The sequence below is a fragment of the Homo sapiens genome, chromosome 10 (genome assembly GCF_000001405.40).
Source record: "Homo sapiens chromosome 10, GRCh38.p14 Primary Assembly".
Lineage (NCBI taxonomy): Eukaryota > Metazoa > Chordata > Mammalia > Primates > Hominidae > Homo > Homo sapiens.
Window position 1 is genome coordinate 44,183,939 of NC_000010.11, and position 13,966 is coordinate 44,197,904.

The following is a 13,966-nucleotide window of genomic DNA, read 5'->3' on the forward strand; positions in this document are numbered from 1 at the left end:
ATTGTGTTTCACAGAACATGGAGAAAGCGCTGCCATTAGGATGGGAGGTCAACATGGCTCTGCTGGATGCCAGTGGCTTTGGATCTGATCTGACAGAGCTGTAATCAATACTCAGCATTTCCTCCATGCAGTTACTCCGATCATTTACATATTGCCTTACTCCTCATGGCAAACCTACACATTCTTGTGATTTTACAGATGAAAAGACTGAGGCATGGAAGGGATGAAGAGCCTGTCCAGGACCAGCAGTTAATCACAGGAGAACTGGGAGCTGAGCCCAGGCTGCCTGGCTTGCAGCTGCCCTGGGCCTGCCTCTCTGTGCTGCAGGGCTGTCAGATCCAATGCCCTTGGCATCTGTAGAGAAAAGCAATCCACACAATTCTTATACATAAAATAAAAACCATTTTGGCTACTAAAAAATATACTGTATTCATTCCACGATCACGTGAATTCATTGGTCAGTCCCAACTATCCTCTTCCAATGTCACAGTAGGTGGGCAGGAGGATGGCGCAGTGGTCAGAGCTGTGTCACCTTGCTGGCCTGCACCCCTGTCACTGCACGTTCCCACCATGTACCTTATGTGTCTCCCTCCCCCCACCCAACATGGGAACCCACTCCCACATCCCAGAGCAGAGTCTTCACCATGTTTGAATCTGATCAGACAACACTGGGCAGTGTCCCTGTCGTTCAGGGAAAGAAATGGAAACCTACCCAGGAAGGTGGGAGGAACACATGGAGGAGACAGCAGTCTGGGTCTGGAATGCTGGTGGGATTTCTATGTGATAGGAGTGAGTGAGGAGATATCTATTTTAGGAAAGAGGAAATATCTCATGAGAACAAATGCAGACAGGCCAACCTGGGCACAGACAGGAGTGGTCAAGGGAGCCCAGGAAGGGCAGGGAAGGAGCAGGAGAACAGGGAGGCCTGGGAGTGGTGGTTTGCAGCCTGAGTGTCCTCTGCATCCTGTCTTCTCCAGGCCCATAGCCCACCTTCTATGAGCTTCCTTCCAGGTTCTGTTATGGAGAGACCCTCAACTGCCCAACTCCCTTCTAAAGGGTGATGAGTGGAGAGCACGTACTGGGTTCAACCTGCGGGCTTCAAGACCATGGGATAGTGCATGCGTGAGTGTGTGTACATGCGTGTGTGTGTCTGCATGCGTGTGTGTGTGTGTGTGTGCATGGGTGCGTGTGTGTGCATGCGTGCATGTGTGCATGTGTGTGTGTGTGCATGTTTTGAGTGTGTGCCTGTGTGCATGTGTGTGCATGTGTGGGTGTGGGCATGAGTGTGTGTGCACTCATGTGTGTTGTGTGTGTGTGTGTGTATGTGTCTATAAAGGGCTTTGTGCAGGAGAGTAGCATGGAACAGCTAGGCATTAGGATGGTAGTAAACCTGATGGGGGCCAAATGAATTGAGAAAAGAAGGAAGAAGGAAGGAAAGGAGGAAGGGAGGGAGAGAGGGAGGAAAGAAGAAAATGAAGGAGGGAGAAAGGAAGGAAAAAAGTAGGAATTAAGAAATAAAGAAAAGAAAAAGAAGTGAAAGGAGACAGGTGCACAGTGTCAAGGGACACGCACCTTGGCATGGCAGTGGAGATGGAACGAGAGGGACCAGAGGCTTCCCCGACCCCCCTGAGGGTGACTCGCACAGCAATGCATCAGTCCATCTGTCTCCCACGTTCCTCTCTATGCTTCTCAGGGGAAAGGGGACGTTTCCATTTTATAAAAGAAGAAATGACCTTACAGGACAAAGACAAAAATAAAAGTATTAAGATTGGTGCTGGATGGATAAGTTTGGATACCCAGCAAATAATTTGGAAAAAAATGAGTAAGATTTTTTTAGCTTATAGGCTATCATGAATGCAGTGAATTCAACTCACCTGAGATTATTCACTGTGTTTTTTTTTTGTCTCAAAATATAAAACAGTAAAAAAACCAGCTAATGTATTTGACCTGTGCTCAGCCTCAGCTGTGTGCCAGGCGCTGTGCTGGGCATGACAGGAAATGCAAGGATGCATAAGACACTCTCCTTGACTCCTGTGGAAGTGAGGGAAGAGCATTGCGTGGCAGGAGAGGGAGCCCCCTCAAAGCCCACCCCTTGTCAATCCCTACTGGTCTCACCCCTTCATTTGTGGTGGTATTTATCTGTGGGTGGAAAGGGGGCACAGAGAGATTGAATATTTGGGAATATTGACATAAGAACCTCTGTGATTTCAAAACTTTCACCTATGTATATTTGTTAGTGTTCATCTGATGCTCATGTTAAACAAATGGCCCATGAAGCTCCCTGGTGGGACATTCAGAATCCAGTGGCAACAGAAAAAGTGCAGAAAAACTGCAACACAAGCATTGCCTTCTTTCTCTATCCATGGGAAGAGGCACTTTCAGAGAATGTAGGGGGTGATGATTCTGGCCAAACTAGGGGTGTGTGTTGCAAGACAGGAAAGCATCTGCAAGTCCAGCTGGAGATCCTACAACCTCGACCAATGATTATTTTGGTTTCCTATTTCAAACACTGGCTCCAGGTCTGTGGCTTTTGTTTTTTAATGAGAATGTCAGAGCCCAGAGGCCCTTTGGTCCAATGCAGTTGGGTGGGCAGTGGCTGGGGCACACACGCAGAGCAGAGCTGTCCAGTAGTGGACAGCACCTTGTTGAGACTCTTCCAGCTCTCCTGGGGAGGAGGTGCAAAATAGACCTGGCGTTTTGTGCCTGAAGCACCATTTGCTTTATATTGAAGTGATAGCTCAGTAGGCAGCTGTTTTTAAAATTTTCCCTTCACCATGCATGTTTTAAAGGGAAACTTTTGGCTTTGATTTCTTTAATAAAAATCTGGCGGTAACCGTTCCAGAAACCCATTATGAAGTTGTTTTTTTCCGGCAATGACAATTGTGATCATTGTGCACCTCAGGCCAGTGTCCAGGTGGGCTCTTGACCAAGAAGCCTTCCTCCTTTACCAGAACCTGGGACCAAGGAAACCCCAGACACAAACAGGCTGAAGCTATTTGCTTTTTGTCAGCTCCTCGACTGCAGAACAGTCCACTCTCACCACACTTATACTGTGCACCCCTCACTTACACTGTGCACCCCATTGCATCTGGCTGTCAGGAAAGCAGCATACCTTAGGTCCAGAGGCAAACACAGCACTAGTTGTCTTATTGGGGGCATCTCTCTACTGGTACTACCCATCACCAAGGCTTCATGCTTCATCTTGGAAGGAACAGCAGGGAAGTGGCAGGGGATGAAGGGACACCAATTATTTCTCCAGAGAGAGAGGGGACATGTGTAAAGGCTGATGCTCTCAAAGAGGCTCTACAACCTGATAGGATCACCAACCCCATGAGACCTTTCATCTCCATGGCCTGGGCAACAGATTAGTGTCCCCTTTGATTAAGGCCACGTGGCCTTGTTGGCTGGTGGGTGCAGGGTTCATAAGGAAAGGGGTGGCAATATGGGGCACCAGCTTCTCTAGTTCTGAGAACACCTGCAGCCAGGAGGTTTCTTTTCCCATCCTAGGACTCTTCATCATTTTGGCGCAGACATAAACATCAGTCTCCAAACAGTGAGCCATTGTCCATTCCTCTGTTCCTTCATCTATTTTTGTCATAGAGCATCATAGTGCATAACTGTACAGCTCCCTCAGAAACAGGTGGGTGATCCAAAGAACCTGGGATCTAATGAATACATTGAATTTATGATTACAAAAAACCTTCCCACAAAAACAAACAAACAACAAAAAAAAAAACACAACTCCAGTTCCATAGAGCTTCCCTGGTGAGTTCCACCAAAGAAGAAATGATACTCATTCTATACAAATACTTCTAGAAAATTGAAGAGAATGGAATTTCTCCTAACTCATTCTTTGAAGCCAGCATTACCCTGATACAAACCTAGTTAAAGACACGACCAGAAAAGAAAACTAAAGGTGAATATCTTCCATGAAACAAGATGCAGAGATTCTAAACAAAATTTTAGCAAATCAAATTCAATGATAAACAAAAACGATATACATTATGGCCAAATTAGATCTATCCCAGAAATACAGAGTTGATTTAACATTTGAAAATCTATCAGTCGAATTTACTGTATGAATAAACTAGAAAAGAAAAACCATATGATCATTTAAATATGTGTATTTTTTTGAACAAAAGCTAACATCCATTCCTGCCATTCCTGATAAACTCTCAGCAGACTGTAACAGAAAGGAATTTCTCAACCTCATAAAGAATATCTGCAAAAAACTAGTATAGTAGCTTAGTATAGTACTGATAGTGAAATACTATATAGCTAGTATAGTACTGATTAGTGAAAAATGGAATGCTTTCTTCCTGCTATTAGGACAAGATAAGATACCTAGTCTCATAACTGCTATTCAACATTCATTGAAGTTTCTAGCCTATGCATCCATCTTGGAAAAGAAGAGGCAAAACAGTTTTTTCTTTACAGATGACTAAACTTTGATGTAATCTACGAAAAGCTACTAGAACTAGTAAATAAGCACGTTTGTATGATACAAGCTAACACACAAAAGCCAATTGTATTTCTATATATTAACAATGAACAACAAAATATTCAAAAAATTTAAAACAGTACTGTTTAAAATGGCATCAAAAATATTAAATACTTGGTGATAAATATCAGAAAAGATACAAAAAACCTATACACTGAAAATTAGAAAATATTACTCAGTAAAATGTAAAAAGAACTAAATAATTGGAAAGGTAAAACTTGTTTATAGATTAGAAGGGTCTATATTATCATGATATCACTTTTTCTATAGTTTCAGTGAAATCCCAATCCAAATTCCAGAAGGAGTTTTTGGGTAGAAATGTACAAGCTGGTTCTAAAAATTCATGTGGTAATACAGAGGATCTAGAATCACCAAAGGACCACTGAAAAACAAGAGCAAAGTTACAAGGTTGATACAAACTAGTTTTAAGATTTATCAGAAAGCTAGAGTAATCAAAACAGTGTGGTATTGGCATAAGATTAAAAAAATACATCGGAGTAACAGAAGAGAGTCCAGAAATAGACTGACACATAAATGGTACAACCAACTTTTGAAAAAAGTGCAAAGTCAATTCGTTGGAGAAAGCATAGTCTTTTAAACAAATGGTGTTGGAACAAGTGGATCACTATATGCAAAAATAATGAACTTTGATACGTATACAAAAATGACTTCAAAATAGCTCACAGGTCTACATGCAAAACCCCCAAATTTAAAAATTCCAGAAGTAAACAGAAGTAAATCTTTTTAATGTTGTGTTAAACAAAGATTTCTTTGCTATGACATCAAAAGTAAAGTCCATTAAAAAAAAAAAAGATGAATCTGACTGGGCATGGTGGCTCACACCTGTAATCCTAGCACTTTGAGAGGCTAAGGCAGGAGGGCTGCTTGAGCCCAGGAGTTGGAGACCAGCCTGGGTAACATAGAGAGACCCCCATATCTACAAATAATAAATCAATTAACAAGGCATGGTGGCGTGTGCCTCTGTTCCCAGCTACTCAGAGGGCTGAGATGGGAGGATCACTTGAGCATGGGAGGTTGAGGCTGCAGTGAGCTGTGATCGCACCACTGAACTCCAGCCTGGGTGACAGAGTGAGAACTTGTCTCAAAAAAAGAGATAAATTAGATAAATTTGACTTTATTAAATTTGACAATATTAAAAACTCTGATTTTTGAAAAACACTGAGAAAAGAATGAAAAGACAAGTCATTACCAGGTGAAAATACTTGTTGATCAACTATCTAATACATATCTTGTATTCGGTATATAAAGGACCCTCAGAAGTTAATAAGAAGACAAACAACCCAGTAAAAGAATTGAGGCCCTTATCAAAGAAATGCAAATCAAAACCACAATGAGATACCATCTCACACCAGTTAGAATGGCAATCATTAAAAAGTCAGGAAACAACAGGTGCTGGAGAGGACGTGGAGAAATAGGAACACTTTTACACTGTTGGTGAGACTGTAAACTGGTTCAACCATTGTGGAAGACAGTGTGGCGATTCCTCAAGGATCTAGAACTAGAAATACCATTAGACCCAGCCATCCCATTACTGGGTATATACCTAAAGGATTATAAATCATGCTACGATAAAGACACATGCACACATATGTTTATTGTGGCACTATTCACAATAGCAAAGACTTGGAACCAACCCAAATGTCCATCAGTGATAGACTGGATTAAGAAAATGTGGCACATATACACCATGGAATACTATGCAGCCATAAAAAAGGATGAGTTCATGTTCTTTGTAGGGACATGGATGAAACTGGAAACCACCATTCTCAGCAAACTATCACAGAGACAAAAAACCAAACACTGGATATTCTCACTCATAGGTGGGAATTGAACAATGAGAACACTTGCACACAGGGTGGGGAACATCACACACTGGGGCCTGTCGCAGGGTTGGGGGAGGGTGGAGGGATAGCATTGGGAGATATACCTAATGTCAATGATGAGTTAATGGGTGCAGAACACCAACATGGCACATGTATACATATGTAACAAACCTGCACACCTGTGCACATGTACTCTAGAACTTAAAGTATAATAAATAAATAAATAATAAAAAAATTAAAAAGCAAACCAAAAAAAAAAAAGAATGGAGGCCCTATGTTAAAAAAAAAGAATAGGGAAAACAGACACTTCAGCAAAGAGCAAATAACAGAAGAAAAGATGGTCAACATCATTAGTAATTTGGAAAATGCAAATTAAAACCATACTGAGATACCATACACACTTATTAGAAGGGTTCATATAAAAAGAGTGACCATACCAAGTGCTGGTGAGGATGTGGGGAAGCTGAACTTTCATACATTGTCTGGGAGGAGGGATGTGAAATGGTACAATCACTTTGGAAGACAGTTCTCAGTTTCTTAAAAAGTTAAACATATGCTTACCAAGTGATCCAGCTATTTCATTCCTAGGCATTTGCCTAAAAGAAATGAAAATACATGTCTATACAAAGACTTATGCATGAAAGTTGATACAGCTTTTTATTTGTAATAGCCAAAATCTGAAAACAACCTAACTGTTCATCAACATATCAGAGGATAAACAAATTGTGGTATGTCCATGTAATAACACTACTCTACAATGAAAAGGAATGAAATATTGATACATAAAACAATGCAGCTGAATCTCAAAATAATTACACTGAGTGAAAGAAGCCAGACTTAAAAGGGCACATCGTGTAGGCACATCATTCATATAAACTCCAGGAAATGAAAACTAATCGTTAGTGACAGAAAGAAGATCGGTTGAATTGACCAGGCATGGGGCAGAGTAGAGGGATGGGTTACAAATAGGTATAAGAAAACATTTGGTGGGGAGACATGTCTTCTGTCTTGACTGTGGTGATGGCTTCATGAGTGTATGAGTAGGTCGAACATCGAATTGTACACTTTAAATGTGTCAGTGTATGCTATGTAAATCACACCTCAATAAAGATGTTAGAAAATAAAGAGAATTAAAACAGCAATGAGATACCACTACATACCTGTTAGAATGGCTGAAATCCAAAACACTGGCAACACCAAATGCTGGCAAGGATGGGGAGTGGCAGGAACTCTCATTCATTGCTGAATGGTACAGCCACTTTGGAAGAGACTTTGGCAGTTTCTTACAAACTAAATATACTCTTAGCATATGATTCAGCAATCGATCACACTCCTTGGTATTTGCCCAAAGGAATTGAAAATCAGTGTCCACAGGAACGTGCACATGGATATTTATAGCAGCTTTGTTCATAATTGCCAAGACTTGGAAACAATCAAGATGTCAATAGCTGAATGGATAAACTGTGGTACATCCAGACAATGGATTAATATTCAGTGCTTAAGAAGAAAGGAGCTATCAAACCATGAAAGGACATGAGAGAAACTTAAAGGCATACTGCTAAGTGAAGGAAGCCAATCTGAAAAGGCTACATACTGTATGATTCCAACTATATGACACTCTTGGAAAGGCAAAATTATGGAGGTAGTAAAAAGATCAGTGGTTGCCAGGGATTAGTGGGGAGGGAGGAATGAATAGGCAGAGAACAGAGAAATGTTAGGGCGGTGAAACTACTTTGTACAATATCCTAACAGTGGATAAATGTCATGATAAATTTGTACAAACCCATAGGGTTGTGCGACACCAAGATGAGCCCTAATGTACACTGCGTACTCCTAATGTACACTGCGTCCTAATGTACACTGTGGACGTGTCAGGATGGTGACTCTCTGTACTTTCACTCAATTTTGCTGTGAACTAAAACTGCTCTCAAAAGTAAAGTATATTTAAAAATAAAAAAAATGAAGAGGAGAAGGATGGAAGAAAAGATGGAGAGATGAGGAAAGAGGACAGCAGGAAGAGAAAAACAGAGGAAGGAAAGGCAGAAAGATGGGAAAATGTGAAGAAAGGATTCTCTTTGGGTTCGGGTGGCTGAGAGGTTGGATGGTGGTGAGCAGGTGCCTGGGAATGTTCCAGAAACTCTTCCACTCAGTCACCACAATGAGGTCCACTGTGTCCGTCTCAGCATGGCCATGTGCCACCTGTGGGAAGGAGCTTGGGTCCAGAGAAGGGAGGGTCTTCTTTTCCAGTGGCTCTGTCCCCAAGCCTGAGGCTTTCTCAGCACTGCCGGGGCCTCTGGAGAATGATTTCATTGGTCCTGCTCTCTGTACTTTGCCCACACCACGGCAGATAACTTTCCGTCAGCTGTTAGCATGGCCCACAATGCCTTGAAGGCTGAGGCTCCATCTTCTGTCTGGACACTCTCACTCAATGGGCTTCAGCCACAGCGGTCTTCTCTCTTCACCTAAAGCCAACCAAACTCTTTTCTGTCCAGGACCTTTGCACACACAGTTCTCAGGCCTGGGTGCTCCCCTCAACACGCCTGAGCCTGCCAAGGTCTGGAGGTCTAAGGTACATGTTACCAAATAACCAGGCTTTTTATTTCCTATTCTCAGACTAGATTTACTCCTTTACATCAGCCACAAACTCTAGTTTCCTATCCAATATTAAGAATCACAGTGCTGCTGTCAGAAAATAGGTGAGATTTGCCTGTTTCACTTCATGCCATTTGTGAAACCACTCCCACGTCTACGCATGCCCACAAGTAAAGGCAAATGCCAACCTGCGGGGCCTGGCTGCTCCCAGTTGCTGGGTCCCTGAGGCCCATGTGCATTGGGTCCCAGCCTCCTCCCTTAAGGGCATCACTTCACCAAACACAAAGTTCCTGGCAATCACCTGCCTCTGCACAGTTTTGAACCTGGGAATGTGAAAATTCTCTAGGTTCCTTCCTGACTCATGGAGCTCATAGCTGGGCTGCTGCTCCTGCATTAGCATGCAGCCAGTGCATCTCAGTTTGAAATCTGAGAGCAAAGAGCAGCGGCCTCAACCGTGAAAAACAAACCCAATACAATTCCCGGTTGGAGCTTGTGGGTTCTTCTCTAAAACCCACAGGCTCAGCTTCCCAGCTTTGCCTTGAGTCCATCTATAAATTACTTTTATAGGAATGTTATCATGTTATTGAAAAGCAATAAAGACTTGCTAGACATGCAGCTCTACTGTTTCTGCAATCTTGTGTGGATGGCTTCTATGTGCTACCTCACCCATCTTCATCCAAGCTACTCAAGCCCCTTAATACCTCCTGGTGGATCTTTCCCTTAATCACCTTTTAGCTTAAGAACAAAGAATCCACTCCAAATGGAATAATATTACTACCAGATTATTCTTATATCTCAATATCTATAGGGAGCTAACAGCTGGGTCAAAGAACATAAATAACATGTGGATTTTATTTGAGAGTGAACTCTTACCAACAGGGAAGCTGCTGCCTCCTAATGTTTCTATAAAGTCTCTTGGTGTTTTGTACAGGGATTGCTTTCAAACACATGAGATCTCAACTACTCTTCAACTTTGCAGACTGCTTTCCTCTTTGAGCTCTGATAGAAAATAATCCACAGGGCTGGGTGCCACCTCCTTCCCCTAGGGGCTGCACGGTCCCCTGCTGTGCGGCTGCAGAGCCACCTGCCCTCCCTGGGACTGTCCCACTTGCTCTGGGGGGCCACAAGGAGGCAGGGAGGGCAGGATGCCTCACAGGCCCTCAGCTCACTATTGCTGCTCTGCTACCCAGGCCGTCATTGAAGGGGCTACTGGGCAGTCTGCTTCCAGGCTCCATCCAACGTCCAGGTCTCCTCTTCAGCCTGAGACTGAAGCTGACCACGTCATTCCATCTAAAATCCCTTATGGAACCTATTGTTTGCAGGATGAAGTCTCAGATCCTCCCTTGGAACCTGGATGTGCCTGGGTCCCACCCTGCCTGCCTCTCACCTGGTCTCCTGACCCTCTCCAGCTTTTCCTAAGGTTGCCTAGAGCTGGGGGGCTTCTCCTGAGCCCACCCACAGGGCTGCAGCTCCCCCACATGTTGCTGGAGCTGTTTCCTTTCCTTTACATAATTTCTTATTCTTTTTCTCCACCTGAATAACTACATACTTATCCTTCAGGATGCACGTGTGTGTGTGTGTGCATGTGTGTATACATGTGCTGCATGCTTCCCTAAAAGAGAAGAGAAATGCTTCCAGTGACAATGAAACAGTGGCAGTGGGACAGAGCAGAAAGCTGGGGTCAGCCCCAGGGACTTCTCCACTGCCACCTCCTCTTGTGTAATTTAGGGGTGTATTAGTCTGCTAGGGCTGCCATAACAAGAAGCCACCAGCTGTGTGGCTTAAGCAACAGAAATGTATTTTTTCACCATGCTGGAGGCTGGAAGCCCAAGATCAAGGTGTTGCAAGGTTGGTTTCTCCTAAGGCCTCTCTCCTTGCCTTGCAGATGCTGCCTTCTCCCTGTATCTTCACGTGGTCTGTGTGTGCCTGTGTCCTAATATCCTCTTCTTATAAGGACTCCAGTCATATGGGATTAGGCCCCCGCAACAACTCCATCTTACCTTAATCACCTCTTTAAAGGTCTTCCCTCCAAATGCAGTCTCATTCTGTGAAATGGGGATCAAGATTTCAACACATGGATTTTGTGGGACAAGTTCAGCCCACACTGGGAAGCGGTCCTTTCTCCAACCTGGCCTCAGTTGCTCTTTCCCTCTGTAATAGGACTGTTGGGGGCTCATGACAGTAATCTTGTGGGTCCTCTGCTGCTTTCAATTTTCTGGAAGAAGAGTCAGGCAAGGTGAACCCAGAGCTGAAGCCATTCCATCCTTTTGCTGTTCTGTCAGAAAATGAGCCAGGCGTGTCAGACAGGCTTATCTGTGTGGTGCCTGAGTCCTCACTCTGCTTTCTTTTCCCTCTCTCGCAGAGAGAGATAGAGGAGCGAACCAGAGGAGGTGGGAGGTGAAAATGCCCAGATCCCTATATGGTCCACAAAGCAGGGGACCCAGCATTGAAAGGCTTAGAACAAAGAGAGCGAGTGGAGGGAAGAGGATAAGGGCACTAGTGTGAGTGTCCAGGCCTCCAGATAACAAGAAAAGCCATTTGACCCACAGTGGCTGGGGAAGTTAAGTGGCCTCTCAGGAGGGGCCGGGGGCCTCTCCTTCCTTCCCTCTAGTCTTTAGGGATGGCTCCAGCACATGCCACTGTCAACACAAGAGATAATAACTGCTCACTTCTGGGGTATCCCACTGGGGTGCCCAGGGTTGCAGGGCCCAGCCTGCAGACATCTCTTTTTGTGGGTCTCTGAGTCATCCTCCAGATGTCTGCCCTGGAGAAAATCAGGCATGGAGCCCAGGGGCTGCGGTGTGCACTTTGGAACAGGAAACATCTAACATTGCTTAAAAAAATAAAAGACTCTGCTGTGTTTACTTTTGAAACAACTTGCCAGCCCATCCTGGCAAACTGGAAGGCAGAATAACTTAATGGTTTTGGAGCAGATAGAACTCTGGTGTCCAAGTTCAAGTCCAGCTCTAGAGTCATGCTCCTTACAGTGGCCCAAGGACTGAGTGTGGATTCTGTCACGAACAGTATTTATGTGGTCATAGTCACAAATGCTCTTTAGTGATTTTCCTCTGTAAACACCCAGGTGTGGACAAGGGCATAGAACGCTCCACTATTGTTATCACAAAGGAACGGCTAAGCTGGCACTTTGCAGAGGTGCTCTCCAGTGAGAAGCGTGGCTGACCCTTCCCCAGGCTTGGACAGGCCCCCAACCCATATGCCCCTTCTGTAGGTCTCCACCTGCAGCTGTGGAGGCTTCACACAGAATGCAGTTCACATTTGGGGTTGTCACAGGTACACATTGTGATGGGATTTGCTATGTGCTTGGAGAAAGGAACAGCTTGTACTAATTCTGCAAGGTATCCATGGGCTGTGAGGTGCTGAGTAGACCTCAGGGGCAGTGACACCTGGTTACTCACATGCTTCCCTCTGCACTGGGAGCCCACCGGGCGCCAGCCAAGTCTGAAAAGCTTGTGGTGGGTCCCAGCTTGTACACAAGGCCTGGCACAAGATAGACATCAATGTGATGAAAGAAAGGAACTAGTGGAGATCTGGGGATGAGAAGAGTCCCTGGAGGGAGTGCAGGGAGAGCAGGTGAGCGGGGCTGAAGGCAGAGAGGAGGAGAGGAGAGCTGGCCTGCAGGTCACAAGAGCGTGAGCTGTCACCGGAGCCAGCAGGCATGCAACCTTCAGCAAGGCCTCAGCCTCTGCGCCCTCAGGTTTCCTCATCAGAGCACGAGGGCAGGAACAGCAACTCCAGCAAGGACTCTTGTCAGAGAAGTGATTGAATTGATATTTTGTTTTTTAAGTTATTAAAATGTTTATTTAAATTGATAGCTAATATTATATATATATTTATTGAGTACAACATGATGTTTTGAAGTGTACATACATTGTGGAATGACTAAATCTAGCTAATTAACATGTGCATCACCCCACCTAGATATGATATTTGTGGTAGGAACACTATACATCCACTTATTCCTTTATCTAACTGACATTTTCTATCCTTTGATCAACATCTCCCCAATCCCCCAGTACCACTCCCCAACCCCCTGATAACCATCATTCTACTCTCTGCCTCCATGAGATCAACTTTGTTAGATTCTATATATGAGCTAATACGTCTTTTGTTTTGTTTTGTTTTGTTTTGTTTTGTTTTCCTTTCTTTTCAGACAGGGTCTTGCTCTGTTGCCCAGGCTGAAGTGCAATGGTGCGATATCAGCTCACTGTAGCCTTGACCGCCCAGCAATCCTCCTACCTTAGCCTCCCAAGTGGCTGGTACAACAGGCACATGCCACCATGCCTGGCTAATTTTTCTTTATTATTTGTGTAGAGACAGCATTTTACTACATTGCCCAGGCTGTTCTTGAGGCTCAAGTAATCCTCCCACCTCAGCCTCCCAAAGTGGTGGCATTACAGGCATGAGCCACCACACCTGGCCATGGGCTAGTTTTTCTAAAGTGCTTAGAATAGCACCAGGCACAGAGATGGCAGGATACAAGTGTTTAATAAACTATACAAACGAAAAGAAGAATGTTAACCTTGACAACGTGAAATTAAACATGAGGTGATAGAATTTGGAAGTCGGAAGGCGGAGGGAGAGGGAGGCACCAATGCAGCTTGCTCAGAAGTGCTTTTGAGGAGACCTCGGTGACGGGCTTAGTCTTCTGGGCATTCACAGCCTCCGCAATAGGATACCAATCTTCTGTCCAAGTGCATCGACACTATTGCCTTTTCTTAAGGTGCAAGCTTACTGGACTCTTTTTTCCAAATGCAAGGAAAGCAGAGAACTACGGCCATCCGACTGGAGGATGCCCCTCATCTTGCCAAGCCTTGTGATGTGCACATAGCTGTTGCCTCCCTCTCTCCCTTCCCAGGGTCTTCTTCCTCCTGACTCTTGACATCTATCATGTGACTTCTGGGTCTCCCACATGTAAAATCATGTCAACCCACCCCTGGGCAAAGCAAAAGACAAGGGCCACATTCACGCAGGTTCCAAGTCTGGAACTTTCTAGGCAGGAAGTGGTAGG

At 44.3% G+C, this 13,966-nt stretch overlaps 4 annotated features.

Moving 5' to 3' along the window:
• Window positions 9,567-10,068: an enhancer, noted in NCBI's record as "H3K4me1 hESC enhancer chr10:44688953-44689454 (GRCh37/hg19 assembly coordinates)". NCBI's record gives its function as "activates a minimal SCP1, AML or CMV promoter by ChIP-STARR-seq in naive H9 embryonic stem cells {active_cell/tissue: H9 hESC(naive)}" and the evidence as "EXISTENCE:reporter gene assay evidence [ECO:0000049][PMID:30033119]".
• Window positions 10,069-10,568: an enhancer, noted in NCBI's record as "H3K4me1 hESC enhancer chr10:44689455-44689954 (GRCh37/hg19 assembly coordinates)". NCBI's record gives its function as "activates a minimal SCP1, AML or CMV promoter by ChIP-STARR-seq in naive H9 embryonic stem cells {active_cell/tissue: H9 hESC(naive)}" and the evidence as "EXISTENCE:reporter gene assay evidence [ECO:0000049][PMID:30033119]".
• Window positions 12,249-12,418: an enhancer, noted in NCBI's record as "experimental_12920 CRE fragment used in MPRA reporter constructs". NCBI's record gives its function as "activates a minimal promoter by MPRAs in K562 erythroleukemia cells, with activity observed for the non-introgressed 10:44691720 or rs4948858 variant allele {active_cell/tissue: K562}" and the evidence as "EXISTENCE:reporter gene assay evidence [ECO:0000049][PMID:34662402]".
• Window position 12,334: a transcriptional cis regulatory region, noted in NCBI's record as "Neanderthal adaptively introgressed variant 10:44691720 (GRCh37/hg19 assembly coordinates) or rs4948858 in the experimental_12920 CRE". NCBI's record gives its function as "modulates activity of the experimental_12920 enhancer by MPRAs in K562 erythroleukemia cells {active_cell/tissue: K562}" and the evidence as "EXISTENCE:reporter gene assay evidence [ECO:0000049][PMID:34662402]".